The 14,655-nt window shown below is 40.6% G+C and overlaps 1 protein-coding gene across 1 annotated transcript in view, besides 1 other annotated feature; it reads left to right on the top strand.

Moving 5' to 3' along the window:
* The window catches only part of SLC24A2 (solute carrier family 24 member 2), an 800,438-nt gene that overhangs the window by 297,892 nt on the left and 487,891 nt on the right, over positions 1-14,655 (top strand). The window contains exon 3 of the mRNA XM_017014592.2: positions 5,614-5,751. The gene's annotated coding sequence lies outside the window, so the exon portion shown is untranslated. The remainder of the gene's footprint in view (positions 1-5,613; positions 5,752-14,655) is intronic.
* Positions 9,502-10,701: an enhancer, noted in NCBI's record as "MED14-independent group 3 enhancer chr9:19999298-20000497 (GRCh37/hg19 assembly coordinates)". NCBI's record gives its function as "activates an origin of replication core promoter dependent on BRD2, BRD4, P300/CBP and CDK7 cofactors, and independent of MED14, by STARR-seq in HCT116 cells {active_cell/tissue: HCT116}" and the evidence as "EXISTENCE:reporter gene assay evidence [ECO:0000049][PMID:35650434]".

The raw sequence follows: 14,655 nt of genomic DNA, 5'->3' as shown, positions 1-14,655 counted from the left end.
CTAGACAGTATTATTGTTTGGAATTTGTGGTTCAGCATGGCCATGCAATGGACTCCAAGGTTGAGTGAGGTCTCTGGGCTTGTTGTTTGGCCACACAAGGTGGGCAGGGCCACAGGCTCTGCTCCACAGATATGTGTGGGTATGGGCTTGCCTGCTGGCCTAGAGGAAGCTTAACCAGAACACTGAGGTTTGGTTGAGTAATCATGCTGCAGCTGGAGTTGGGCAGGGCCAGATGCTCCCTCCCCAGGTAATTGCCGGTTGCCTCCTGACTTGGGAAAGGCTTAATGTGAGAACCAGGGCTTAGTTGGGTTACCTCTCCACTACTAGCATTGGACAGGGACAGATGTTCCTTTCTCTGGTCATTACTGACCTACAGTTGCCTCTCGACCTAGGGAAGACTTAGGGAGAGCACTTGGGCTGTGTGGAGAAGCTGGCTAGGGATTCAATGCTAAAGGACCTGTGGACCATGTTTTCTGTAGTGTGATGCTATTGGGTAGTTTCTCTGATGTGGCACCTCCATTGCTCCATTGGCCAAAGTTCAGAGCAACTACCAAGATTTGTGTGATGGTTGCTGTGAACTCTATCACCCGCCCGCTTTTTTTTTTTTTTTTTTTTTTGAGACAGAGTTCAGTCTGTCACCCAGGCTAGAATGCAGCAACCCAATCTCAGCTCACTAAAACCTCTGCCTTCTGGGTTCAAGTGATTCTCATGCCTCAGCCTCCAGAGTAGCTAAACACCCCCATTCTTTATTTCTAACTGACCCCAGGTGGTATAGCCCTGCTGTTACTCTCAGTGTTTCCCATAGGATGAGACTGGAGTGAGCCTCTTTCACAGGGTCCCAGAATGGTGGGGAGGCTGAATGTCCACCTCCAACTCACTTTTCCCACTATAGAAACCATGAGTCCAGAATTCTTTGTGCATGGCACTATGCTAGCTTAAGGAAGGAGGAGTATGCTCAATGAGAACCATTTCTCTTACCATTGAATCATAGCTTTTTTCAGTTCTGCAGTCTAAGGGGGTGTCTCAGCCTCACTCCTGAGTTCTTGGATATTCAGGATGGTATTCTTGCCTGTGGACAGTTGCCAGTTGGATTTCTGTGGGGGAGAGTGAAGCCGGAGAACTCCTATTCTTCCCGTCTTGCCAACATCACTCTCTGCATGTTCTTCTGAACTGGGAAACTGAAGGCCCTGAGTGCTGCCAGTGGGGTAGAGTAGAGGATGGAAGTGGAGTAAGTGGGAGAACTCAATGCAACCTCTGGAATTTGGAATTTGGGGCATGAGTGAATATAGAGTCTAGAGGCTGCTTCTTTCCTAGAGTCTCTGAAGATAGCAGGCTGGACTACAAAGATGTCATATTCCTGGGAAGAAGATGGGAGCACACTCTACCTTTTAGGGAATATAAGAGGATTTCTCCAGGGCACCAGTACAGGAAGCAGAAGTCATGGAGCTGCCAAGGTGGCTATGTAGTGAGAGTTGCCTCATCTGGAAAGGGGGTTGGAAGTATGGAACTGTGGTGGGAGACAAATGTAGATACAGTTATCCTTCAGCAATGAAGAAGTAGAGTGAAGTTCACCACCATCCTCTAAAACCAATAGAGAATATCCATGTACAGAAGTCACCAGTGGCAGACAGAGCCAGGCGAAGACAGAGTGAGTCCAAAGACACCTCTGTAGACAGCCAGCGAGACACCTCATCCTCTCCCTTGTTCCCCTCCCAGCTCCTCTTCCCAAAGGATACAGAGACCCACAAGTGGATAGGGGTGGGGAGAGGACATAGCCCAGAGTCAGGCTTAAGAGAGGGAAGAGGGGCCAGGCGCAGTGGCTTAAGCCTGTAATCTCAGCACTTTGGGAGGCTGAGGTGGGTGGATCACTTGAGGTCAGGAGTTCAAGACCAGCCTGGCCAATGTGGCAAAACCCCGTCTCTATTAAAAATAGAAAAATTACCTGGGCATGGTGGTGCGCACCTGTAGTCTCAGCTACTCGGGGGACTGAGGCAGGAGAATCGCTTGAACCCAGGAGGTGGGTATTGCAGTGAACCGAGATCATGCCACTTCACTCCAGCCTGGGCAACAGAGTGAGGCTCTGTCAAAAAAAAAAAAAAAAAAAAAAAAAAAAAAAAAAAAGAGAGGAGTAAGAAGAATTAAAAGAGAAGCCCACTTGCCCTCACCTGTGCAAGTCTCTTAAAATACACATCAAGCTTGTGCTGCAGAAGAGGACAGGAGATTTATAATAGTTTTGGGATTAGACTTTAAAACTGTGCTGAACTAATTCTATTTTAAATAACTAAATTTAACAGAAACTAATGGAATATGCCCAAAGGGACTTCTGATGTAACTGTTGAGAAGAGTGATTAGTGAAACATAAAATAGTTTCATGTTGAAATCCCCATTGCATTCAGATTTTTCAATAAAGTAGTTACTTTATATACTCATAAATGGATTTATAAACACCTATATGGATTTATGTATATGAATTTATATACATATATATTCACACATGTATACACCATTTATATAAAGGTAACTGATTTGGAGAGCCTGAGAACCTAGATTAGACTTAGAAAACATGGGGCGCATATGTCACACAAATTACCCCACCCCCTTCCCTTGCCAAGGCAGACATTACCAGTTAATCAATGCACCTTTTCACCCTAAAGTAGGACTCAGGTGCAGAATCCTTTTCAACCCAGCATTACCAGCAGCCACTTCCAAGAGATCACTGTTGGCACAGAAGATGAAACCTATTACATCTCTTTTCAAGATTCTAGAACAGAGCACTGCAGCAGGGAGTCTGATTTTCAACAGTCAAAATTGATCTTGTGAAAACTGTTTTTTATTTGCTCAGAGCCCATTTATTCTTACTGTGGGCATAATTCTAGTAAACTTTATCAGCTGTCATCTGATTTACCAGTCCTTAGCATGATACAGTCAGCTAATTAAGAGTTGGGATTTTACTAGAGAAAGCAACACCCACAGTAGAAAGCAAGGATGTTGACACAAACAGTGATGTAGTAAAAATAATTTCTACTTACTGAGCACTCACTTTTGTTATAGGTCCTTGATATGTATTTTCTTTTATCCTCACAGTAATGCTTTTAGGAAGGCAAGCACTGTGTACCCATTTTATAAATAAAAAAAGTTAGGCTTGCAAAACTTAAGCAACTTACACAGGAACACACAGTTGGGAGTCAATTCCAGATCTTTGTAGTACCAAGGCATACACGATTTTTCTTGATACTGTATAGACTGCCCCTAAAATTTCAGACTTTAGATTTCAAAGAGCATGGTAGTCTGGTGTCATGTAATGGAGAGACAGAGAATTCCCTAGGCCTTGATGAGGTCTAAAGTCATGAATTTTGAACAGAATATTTTTATTTTTATTTTTTAATTTTTGTGGGTACATAGTAGTTTTGTATATTTATGGGGTATATGAGATATTTTGATACAGGCATGCAATGCTTAATAATCACAGCCAGATAAATGGCTATTCATCCCCTCAAGCATTTATCCTTTTTTGTGTTACAAACATCCAATTATACTCTTAGTTATTTAAAAATGTACAATAAATTATTTTTGACTGTAGTCATCTTGTTGTGCTATCAAATACTAGATCTTATTCATTCTATCTAGTTATATTTTGTACCCATTAACCATCCCCCCTCCCCTCACCCACTACCCTTCATGTTTCTGATGAATACTCTGAGCAATTAATATACATTTAATTGCATATTAAATTAGTATTTAATAACATGAATATGGAAATATAGAAAGTAGATAAATTTAGAATACATTTTTATTTGCTTAATTTTTAAATTTAATTACATATTAATATATAAATATGAAAAGTAGGTATATATAAAATATATTCTTGATTAATTAACATACTATGTGTATATATTGTATTCTACTATGTATATCATGTAGTTTCTTATTAAGCCAGATAAATTGGGTATTTTAATATGTGACTATGTTTGTGTGTACATAAGCATATATATGTGGTATGACAGAATATATATACAAATTTCCTAAAAGGAGGTACTGATATGCTGGCTATCAGCTGACCCTATGCCCTACCCTCACTTTGGGTTATTTTCATATGACAAATAAACTTGTTTCTTTTCTGTCTTTTTTTTTTTTTAATGGAGTAGGGAATGGGATCTCGGAGTTCTTGATTATTTTTGACTATTCATGATTTTCCCATTTACATGCTCTCTTTAGCACCTGGTTAAATCACTGGCCTTTGGCTTCAGCATAATTTCATGTTCTACAAACAATGTAAAATTATTTTTCTCCATTTACATCTAATAGAACTTCCTGGGAGAACCCTCCCTTGATGCACTTAAGAAATACCCTGTCCCACCCCACCCCACCTCATCCTTTAGAACCTTCCCTTTGGTTTGGCAGTATAATGAACTAGGTAAAAAATGAAATTTTAGAGTCTCAGAAACTTGAGTTCAAGTCTTTGCTCAGCAATGTAGTAACTTTGTGATCTTAAGCAAGATACTTAATCTTATTGTGTATTTCCTCATCTGTAAAATGGGTACAATATCAGCGTCTATTCCTTAGGCCACTGTGAAGATTAAACAAGCTAACATATGTAAAGTCCTCAGCACAATATTAGACACAGAGTAAGCCCTCAAAATTTGTTTTTTTAATTATTTTGATTCCTTAAACACTTTTAGGATTGCCAGGAGGTTAGTCATCTTTGCCCCAGTTCTTGCTATGGGATAATTTCCCAAGTCCAACAATTTGTTCAAATGAAAAAGGGCTTTCCAATTTGCTTGACTTTGTGATTAATTATGGATAAAGTGAATGGTAATTATTAATTAATTTTTGAGGTGATTATCAGGTGCATGTAGATTACAATTAAAGACACTTTTCTCTAGACACCCTCCTTTCTATGGATTTGATGTTAAGTTTTAATGCCCATATTTGGACATAGCATAACTATTTCGCTGACAACCAGTAACAAAGGTATGGTTTAGGAAATTATTTCATTGTGATAACCAATAGACTGGAGCAATAAAGAGAAAATCTCTTATTTAGTATCAGATACTTCAAGGATAAAGAAAACAGATGCTTCTTTTTTTTCAAAAAAAGTGATATTGTTTTCAAGTTTTCCTCATTCAGAAATCTCCTCTTTACATCAACTCAGGTTCAATTATGAAATCCCAAAGGAAGAAAAAAAAAAATCATCATCTTCACAGCACATTGTTGGGCATGCTTCATAAAAGCAGTGCCTACTTTGTTTTGTTATAATCCTTCATTCTTTGAATTTAATGAGACAAGATATATCATATTGCCATGAACACATATACAAAACCAAATCAATTTCCTCAAGGAAAAAATCCCTTATAAAACTCCAGCTCAACAAATTTAAATATATTAATGATTTTTACTACATCTGTATATGGTGAAATCCACTAATGGAGATCATCCCATTGTTCAATAAAACAAAATGAGAGTCTTTAGGCAGGTAGTCTCATACACAAATTTATGGCAGCCTATATTCTGTTATTAACTGGATGGATTCATGATAAGATAGTTAGGACTATACTTTTTCCTCTTAAAGAATGTCACAATGTCACTTCTCTTTCCCCACTCTTCCCACTGCAGGTGCTCAGCTGCTGTTTTATGACCAGCTTCCCTGGAAAAGCCTGACCAACAGAGTGGTCATAGGCCCAGCTGAACACCGGTCAACAAAAATGTCCTGCCCATGTCTGGTGTTAGGCCAATGGAAGGAAACCTCCAAAGGTAGGAGGCTAAGTATTTGGGAAGCAAAGGTTATGAAGCAAATGGCGATTGCATGAGTGCAGCCCATGCTCCCTTATCATCTATTAGGTGCTTGTTAGCTGGTACTCATTAGAAGGGGTCTGTGTCTATACCTGTTTTATACATAGTCAGTATTCTGTATGTGAAAGAATATCAAGGCTGAGAAAATCTCTCTCAGGGCAAAGAAAAGAAAATTACCCAGAATCCTAGCACTCTAGCCCAACTAATTACATATATGTAAGGTTTTTTCCCCAGATTTTTCTATACACATAGACATATACATATATGCAGTTGTAATCATTATGGTCACACAAGTTTTTATCCTGTTTTTTTTTTTTTTCGTTAAACATCCCACATTCAGGCAGTCTTCATAATCACCATTTAAATGATAGTACTAGGCATTGGCAAGCTACTTCTTGCCAGTCAAATCTGGTCCACTACCTGTTTTTATAAATAAAGTTTTATTGGAATACAGCTACATCCATTCATTTTTGTATTGCCCATGGCTGCTTTCATGCTACAACAGCAGAGCTAGTAGTTGTGACAGAAACCCTATGACCCACAAGCATAAAGTATTTACTGCCTGGCCCTTTAAATGCCAACCCCTGACATTCATTCTATCAAGTGGAATCTATAATTTATTTAATCATACCCCGTTTTTGAACATTTGGGGGGTTTTCTCTTGTCTTCTTACTAATACCTCAAGGAATATGAGGGTTCATACTTTAAAAAAAAAGGATTTCCTGAGTCTAAATTCCCCAAAGTAGGACTACTGTACCAAAATGTAGGAACATTTTGATAGCTTGAAATTTCTAAATCAAATCTCATAAGACGAAGTAGTTTCTCCTACAGTGGTGCATTTCTCTCTGACAATAGCATGCTCACCATATCGACAGAGAAAACAAGAGTGGATTTTGGCTGACTTGTGGATATGTGGCTATGTGGCTAATTGCTGGATTAGAGTCTTACAAGCATCATTTTGCCTGTGGTCATGGGCATAGTTTTGTATAAGTGTGTTACGTGTTCAAGTGTTTGGTTAGTTGCCATATATTATCTGCAGTGACCATTCTTTATACATTTTGGGGGAATCCTCTCATATAGATTTGTTACACAAAATCCTTCCCTCACCACCATATCTAATTCAACAAACAAAATGAATGCCAAATAGGCAGGCAGAACCAGATTTATCATTTATGGGGCCTAGTACAGGTCCCCTTTTCGAAAGCTATTAAGAATTTCAGGATGCTGACAACAGACCATTAAACCAAGCACAGAGCCATCTAAACACGGGGCCATTTGTGAATGTATTGGTTGTACATCCGTAGAGTCAGCCCTACAGGTAGGTGGAGGATGTGTGTGGAGGCTACAGCTAAGAAAAACCCTGTTATGTGGAATACAGCCAGCCCTGCTGTTGTCCCCTCCTGAAACCACCAGACATGGGCAGTGGGCAAGGAGGGAGGAAAAATCCAGAAGTGTTTGGCTGTTCTATATATGGAAGAAGACAAACCAGAAACTTCTGTGACCTCCTTGGTGACAGTCACTGTGAGTGCACCAGTCTGGAGTTTCCATCATTTACCTGTCCCATCTGTGGTTAAGAGAGTGAGCTCTCAACTATGATTGCCTGAGTTCAAGTCCTAACTCTGTGATGTACCAGCAGTGGGACATTGAAGTATGTTATCTTCAGTTTACTCATCTACAAAATGGGTCTAATAAGGGTACCTGAGTTTGTTTTAACAGTAAGTGCAGTGACACTCCTTTTGTGCTTATGCCTGATTATACCCTGAGTAGATTTTCCTGGTGTTATGCTATTATCTTTTCAAAAGGGTACCAAACTAATAATTGTTACTGAAAAAAAAAAAAAAAAAAGGTTTGTAGCTTGCAGTAAGCCTTTTGGTAGAATAAAGTGCTAATCATTTTTCTAACATGGCAGCCTTTTGTGCATTGCTCAGAGACACCTTTCAACTACTGGTACATCAGTGCTGGCTCAACAGCCTACGTAGACACAGAGTTGGGGTGAAATGGTAGTGCTATTGGTATTACTATTACTCTTCCGATGTTGAAATCTTGTGGTGACAAGCAGAATGCTTGTCTCTGCACCAGAGGTGGTGGTACTAAAACAATCCTTGTGGATTCATCAGCATTTACCTAAGTATGTTCCACTAAAGCAGGGCTTTAGTCCTCAGCCCTGAGGACTGCCTCAAACTTTTGAAAATCAAAAGAATTCTATCAATAAATAAATTTTAGAAATGCTGTATTAAACTCACATAAACAGTATTCTTACCTTTAGTATTCTTATGTGGACTTACATATTTTCCATGAAGTACATTTTTCTGGGAATATATCACAGAACTGATGTTTCAATAAACACATTTTGGGAGATAGCACTCTACTAAATATTTTAGTGCTGGATCAAAGTAGGTGTTGCTTTGTGAAGCTTTTTTTCTTTGGGAGAGGCAACCTTTAACCAGAGGCATCATAAATAAAAGACATGTCTGTATAATGCCCAAATCCATGTAACAAATCTTAAAGACTCGGTAGGAAGATGCTTAGCAACCTCTTTGGTGATGTGGCAAGCAGGCCTCAAAGTTGGCGGATGACATGGAATAGAGATGAATATCCACCAAACTCAGCCATTGCCAGTGGAGGGTGGACTGAGACGCCTTTTTTCACAGTGGTTCTATTTTTGATTCCCATGTGATTTACCCAAAAAAGGCAGGGCCTTGACACCTTGGGGACAGTTATGCTTATTCTCAGCTCAGCAGATTGGGCGAGAATGATTTAAGCAGCAAAGGAAAATTAATTGGTTGCCTTGGCTTCTTCCCCTTCCTGCTAGGCTTAACCCCCTTCCAGATTTCTTCCGCAGGACAGTTCCCTTCTCTCCATGCAGACCTGAGCCAAAATAGAGTGCCAGGAGGGTGAGAGGGTGCGTTGTGAGGCATGCAGAGCACTCTCCACAGGTAAACCTGCAGCTTTGCAGGAAGGTGGATGCACACTCCCTCCTATCCTCAGCCCACTCATTGCTGGATCTAAGAGGACAGGATGTGTGGCGCAGCAGGGACAATGCAGGCTCTGCCATCAGAAACGAAGTGCTGATCCTCCAGGCTTTAACTTTCTCCTTTGTGGCCCACAAAATGCAACTGCCACGTTTGCATTTGATTGTTTATTTTTAAAGTGAGGGTGGGCCCATTAGAGCAATGGATGGGGAGAGAAAGGGCCTCAAAACGTGATCTTTGCTCTTGGATACCAAGATAATATTCATCTTACTATCCATTAGGGTCAGATGACCCTTCTAAGCTTAAAAAGCAATAATTCCAAGTTATGCTTCCTGCCTCCTTCCGTCCTCCACACCCTCTCATACATAACTTTTCTGTCTCAACAGTGATCCTGTTTTTCCCATGAAAGTTTTCTCTGTGTATAGAGGAGGAACAGTCTCACATTTTACTGTTAACTTAGTCTCTAGGGCATGTATATTTCCTGTCTTTATGCTTAAGGCAAAACTGGGGTCCATTCTTTAGTTCAAAATCAGAGCCTTAAAATTATATAACACTGACACATAAGAAACTCCAGTGCAAAAAAATGTGGCAGATATGGAGACTGCGGGAGAAGAGATCCATGTGTCGTGAGTTCCTGATCTTCACTGAGCTCCTACAGCAGTTATTGTTTGTTGCCAGGTGGTCTATTCTCAGGGCCGTTTGTGTTCTGATGTTTCTCCCTTGTCCTCCAATGAGACTGGATAAACTTTTTGAAGATAGAGTTTATACCTATACAATGTTTATCAAGAACTGGCACAAAAGTCTCTGAAACTCCAGTTGAAGGTATGTTTTCACCCTCTGATGATTATAGGGCAGTCTGGATCCAACCTGCCTAGGTCAAATTCTGTCTCTGCTACTAACTAGCTGCATACTAGCTACTTGGGCAAGATTCCTCCAATTCCTTATCCATAAAATAGGGAACTGTTATGAGCAAAGTCCATGTAATATGCTTAGCACAGTTTCTGGCACCTAATGGTACTTCAAAAGGTGAAATAATAATGTTCATTAAGTGCCAACCATTTCCATACATACTAGTTTAAAATCTTTTAAAGTAGGAATTATTACCTCCATTTTACAGCTAGAAAAATAGTAAATCAGAGAAATGTGGTTTTTTAGTTGCAGATCGATCACAAAGTGAGCAGCAGCACAGGTCTGTGTAACCCCAAAGACTGAGACTCCAGCACAGGTCTGTGTAACCCCAAAGACTGCAGTCTCTGAACCTCTCCACACTGTCTTGAACATTCAGGCCATTAAGACCCTGAACTGGGGAACTCCTAGTCTAGCTCTTTAGTCACTTGGCAAAATTGCCACCAGTGACCCGGATGAAGAGGTTGAAAACAGGCCCCTTCTAGACTTTGATTCTCAGCCATGGGTGTTGACTGCTTTGTGCCTCCTGGGTCCCCCTGATGAAACTCTGTGACTCTGGCTCAGGATGACTGTAAGGCAGGACACAGGAGGTCAGCCCTGTAATTCCATAACTGCTCACTCACTGACTGCTTAGTGAGAAACCATGATGACAGCTGGGATCCTTTCCGTGATGAGTAATTACCCTGTCACACAAATCTATTTAGACCACATCCTTCTGGGGTACAACCACCAGTTGATTTAAAATGCAAACCTTTTGTAGCTCATTGCCATGAGGATGAAATATAGAGTTTACTCAGACTTTTCTTTGTTGGAGTATTTATTGTAAATCATTAGTTACTATGAGTTGCTACCCATACATCAAGCAATTCCTACCTAGCCCTGAGTGCTGAAAGAATTCTCTGTGCTTTTCTAGAAAAGGTACCATTTGTCCAAGAATATAATTACTGTATACTTTTTAAAAATCCCAAGCTCATATATTTGTGTAGAGAAACTCAGGCCCAAGGACACCCAATTAACTGGGAACACTCAGTGTGGTTTTCAATACAGGAACCACAAGTCTTCAGGGATGTTAATGAACATGGATAATAAATGCCTCACCTACTACTCAGGCTTCCAGCCAGGGAGGCGAAGGAGTGACAGGCAAAGCCGTGGCTCCCTGCTCCAAGTCTTGCACTAAACACTTTATATAGGTCTTTAATTCTCCCAATAGCCCCAGTGGGTAGGCATTAGCATCTTCATTTTACAGATGAACAAATTGGGGATCCCCATCTTACACCATGAAGCAGTGGAACCAAAACTCATACTGAAAATAATTGACTTTCCCAAGTCTCTCTGCTATATCACCACACACAAAGAGACTTGCAGCCCCAGCTAGCTTATTTCTGGCTTCTGCTGGTCTGATTCTTCTGTGGGTGGCTTTAGAACAAATAGGATGGCTGAGGTCCCCCATCATCAGGGCTGCCGTTGAACATGAAGGAGGAAAGCTGCTATGTATAGCAAGCATTTTTATCTTGCCACCAACAAAGATCAAGCACACAAAATCTGAATCCCCCCAGGGGTGGGAGAAGGAGTGAGTTTCTATTTCTCCCAGACCATTCTGTCCAGAGCACACAGCAATATGGGCAGACAATTAGTATGAACGGATTTGAGCAAAACAGCAAATCTGATTGATGCTGAAAGCACACCCATGTGGGAGCACACAAAGGGATGGAGAAGAGGGGTGGTCATAGGAAGCGGGGCCTGCTTAAAAATTCTAATCCTCATAAGCTTCTGAGGAAGCTGCTCTTTTCACTGGGCAGGTTTTTAATATTTATTGCTGGGGGCTGTTTTAATCCTAATGAAAATAGCATGTCCCTAGGAAAAGAAATGCTGGAGCTACAATGAATGAATGTGGCTCTGGCATTTAAAATGTCTCACAAGGCTCACAGAGGGTAGAGGTGACCCGGAAGTGAATCATTGACAGGCTTCAGGAAGTACTGCTGCCAGAAGGAAGTTGAGCTCAAAACAGGGTATGTGTGGGCGAGTTCAGGCTGAGTTAACCCCTGAATGGGTCTGAATGGAAGACCCATTTCTGAAGAGGGGCACACTCAGAGTTCATCTGCCAGAGTTTGAATCCTAGCCCTGCCATGTCTAAATCTCAATCTCCCATCTCTAAAATGGAGAAAATGATAATTACAGATTTTGTTGTTTCATTGTGAAGACCAATTGAGACAATGAATGTAAATTACTTACCACAGCTTCCGGCACAGAGTAAGTGCTAAATAGTGAGAGATGCATTATTATTAATATAATTTTTATTATTGTATGGCTTATCCTTAATAGTATTGGCTTTTTTCCCAAAAATATAAGGATGCCAGGTATGAACTAAGAGATAGTAACTAGGAGGGCCTATTGGAAAGAGCCAGAGAAAATTAATGCTGAATCTTCTATTGATAAAATTCTGATTCAAATCTGATTCAAACTGAGAAGGAAATAAGAGCTTCTCTTTTGCAGTGAGGGACACAGGCAAATTAACTATTTATCCAAATACAGTTTCATTGGCAAATAAAATGTGTTGCCTGAGTCCAACCATGTCATCAAGTAAGATCTCAACAGAGCTGAATCTGTGTGTAATTCTGAAGACTGGAGTTTGTCTTGCTCACTCCTAGCTGCTGTTGTACGCCTGTTTTTTCATGAGTGGAATCATTTCTAACCACTCAGTAAATTCTCTCTGTTTACCTCTCCCCTTCTATAATAGTGGATCTGTGACTGGGGTTTCCCTTTCTGTTGTTGGGTGAGTCTGACACTTGCTGAGAGTGTGCTGAATGATCCTGACCACCTCCTCTGATCTTCTTGGGCTCACAAATGGGGACCTCAGTTCCTCACTCCAAGGAATAGCTTAAGAATGTAAAAGGTATCATGACCTAAACTAATATGGTACGTCCACTTCCATATGAAAGTCAAAATCAAAGTTGTATCAAACTGTAAAGTAAACTTACTTTTTGAGGTGACATAAAGCTTAAATGGGTACTGGAATTATCTTTATTCTAATTTCTCTCTTTCTCTTTCTCTTTCTTTCTGTGCCCCTGCTTTGCTGGTTCCCTAAACTCACACCTAGTCTGATTATTGCAAATCTAGCACCAAGACCAGATTCCAAAAATTATTAAGAAGAAACAGTAAAATTGTGATGACTAAGTTCTAAATCTCTCTTCTTGTCTTGAGGAAAATGCTCTGTGCTCTCTCTCGTAATTATTCTCAAGAAGCATGCCTAGTTGAAGAGCTCAGCAAATTGTTTGCTTTTTTTGCCTTTTTTTTTTCACCATCTTTTGCCTGCAATAATGGACAGTCTCCCAACTCGTTGTCTCCCTCTCTTTTGTCTTGTTCTCCTTTACTTCATTCTCCATGCTTTTACCACTGAGCGCTTTCTAAAATTCAAATCTAATAATGTTGCTACTTAGTTTAATACCTTCTAATGGCTCCTTATAACTAGAGCTACAATTCTCAAACCAGGGAAACGTACCACTTGGGGTAAGGTGTTACTCGTTATGGAGGGTGTGAAGGCATAGGATAATCATGATGGATCTCCTTTTTTTTTTTTTTTTTTTTTTGAGACGGAGTCTCACTCTTGTCACCCAGGCTGGAGTGGTGCAGTGGCACCATCTCGGCTCACTGCAACCTCCACCTCCCAGGTTCAAGCGATTCTCCTCCCTCAACCTCCTGAGTAGCTGGGATTCCAGGCACCTGCCAGCATGCCTGGCTTAGTTTTGTATTTTTTTAGTAGAGACAGGATTTCACCATGTTGGCCAGGCTGGTCTTGAACTCCTGACCTCAGGTGATCCACGCACCTCAGCCTCCCAAAGTGTGGGATTACAGGCATAAGCCACCGCACCTGGCATTGATGGATCTTCTTTAACGCCAAGAGTGATGAATGTGATGTATTCATATATTAACAAATATAAATATGTTACGGAGTGGAACACATAATCGACTCAAATATTAGAGACTAAATATGGTATTTCAGAGGAATTTCACAGGAGTCACTGGCTTCTGACCATGCCCCAGGACTTATGAAAATATTCAATCACTCTCCTAAAACAGAATAGAAAAGTTGGTGAAGCATTACCCTGAACAGTAAAATCAAACCCTTTGATGCAAAGAAAATTCTCTGAAATCTGAAGCCAGCCTTTTCTTCACAGCACCATATTTCTTTCCCAACTTTACCCTATCTGACACCCCATGCTCCTTACATAGTTCATGCATGCACAGTTACAAGCATCTTTGCTAATTTTACTCTTCTAGCTCTATGTCTCTGAAACACCTGTCTTGAAGCATGCATCTTCTTAAAAAGGTTGAAAGTAGTGGTTCTCTTCCAACCTTCCCTTTACTTTACCCAAAGAATCCAGTCTACCTTTCTCCCCAGATAGCCTCTAAGAAGTTAGCTCAGCAGTGTGTATGCATGTTCATCTCTAAAGAGGAGAGGGGCCTAGGCCAGGCTGCCTTGACTAAGCACATGATGCCTGCCCCATCTGTTGAACATCAGGAAATGGTGAGTGATTGAGGGCTAGATGCTGGGGTGCACTGCCTAGATTTGCATATGGGCTCCCTCACTTATCAACTGGATGATCTTGAACTAACTAGCTAACTGCTCTGTGCCTCAAATTCCTCATGTCTACAGTAAAGATTATAGCAGAATAATATTTCTGTAAAGAAGGTCAAAGAGTTTAAATGTGTTAAATGCTTCAAAGAATGTCTGGTACCTAAATGAACATTAGTTATGATCATTCTTAACCTCTCCTTGCTAGTAGGAGGGAGTTGGCTCAAAATATCTAGTGTTCTTATGAAAAAGACCCTGGTCCTCAGGTATTCTCACATGGCCCCATCACAGCCTAAGTCCTGTGGCTCATAGGATGAGTGTACTCTGGGAATAAAGTTCTGTTTTTCTTTCCTTCCCCAGAGCCAGGACATTCTAAGGCACCCACACATAACCTCCACGCTCTCTTTACCTCTG

The sequence above is a fragment of the Homo sapiens genome, chromosome 9 (genome assembly GCF_000001405.40).
Source record: "Homo sapiens chromosome 9, GRCh38.p14 Primary Assembly".
Classification (NCBI taxonomy): Eukaryota; Metazoa; Chordata; class Mammalia; order Primates; family Hominidae; genus Homo; species Homo sapiens.
The sequence above is the reverse complement of the archived record's forward strand: the minus strand, read 5'-3'. Positions and strand labels throughout refer to the sequence as shown.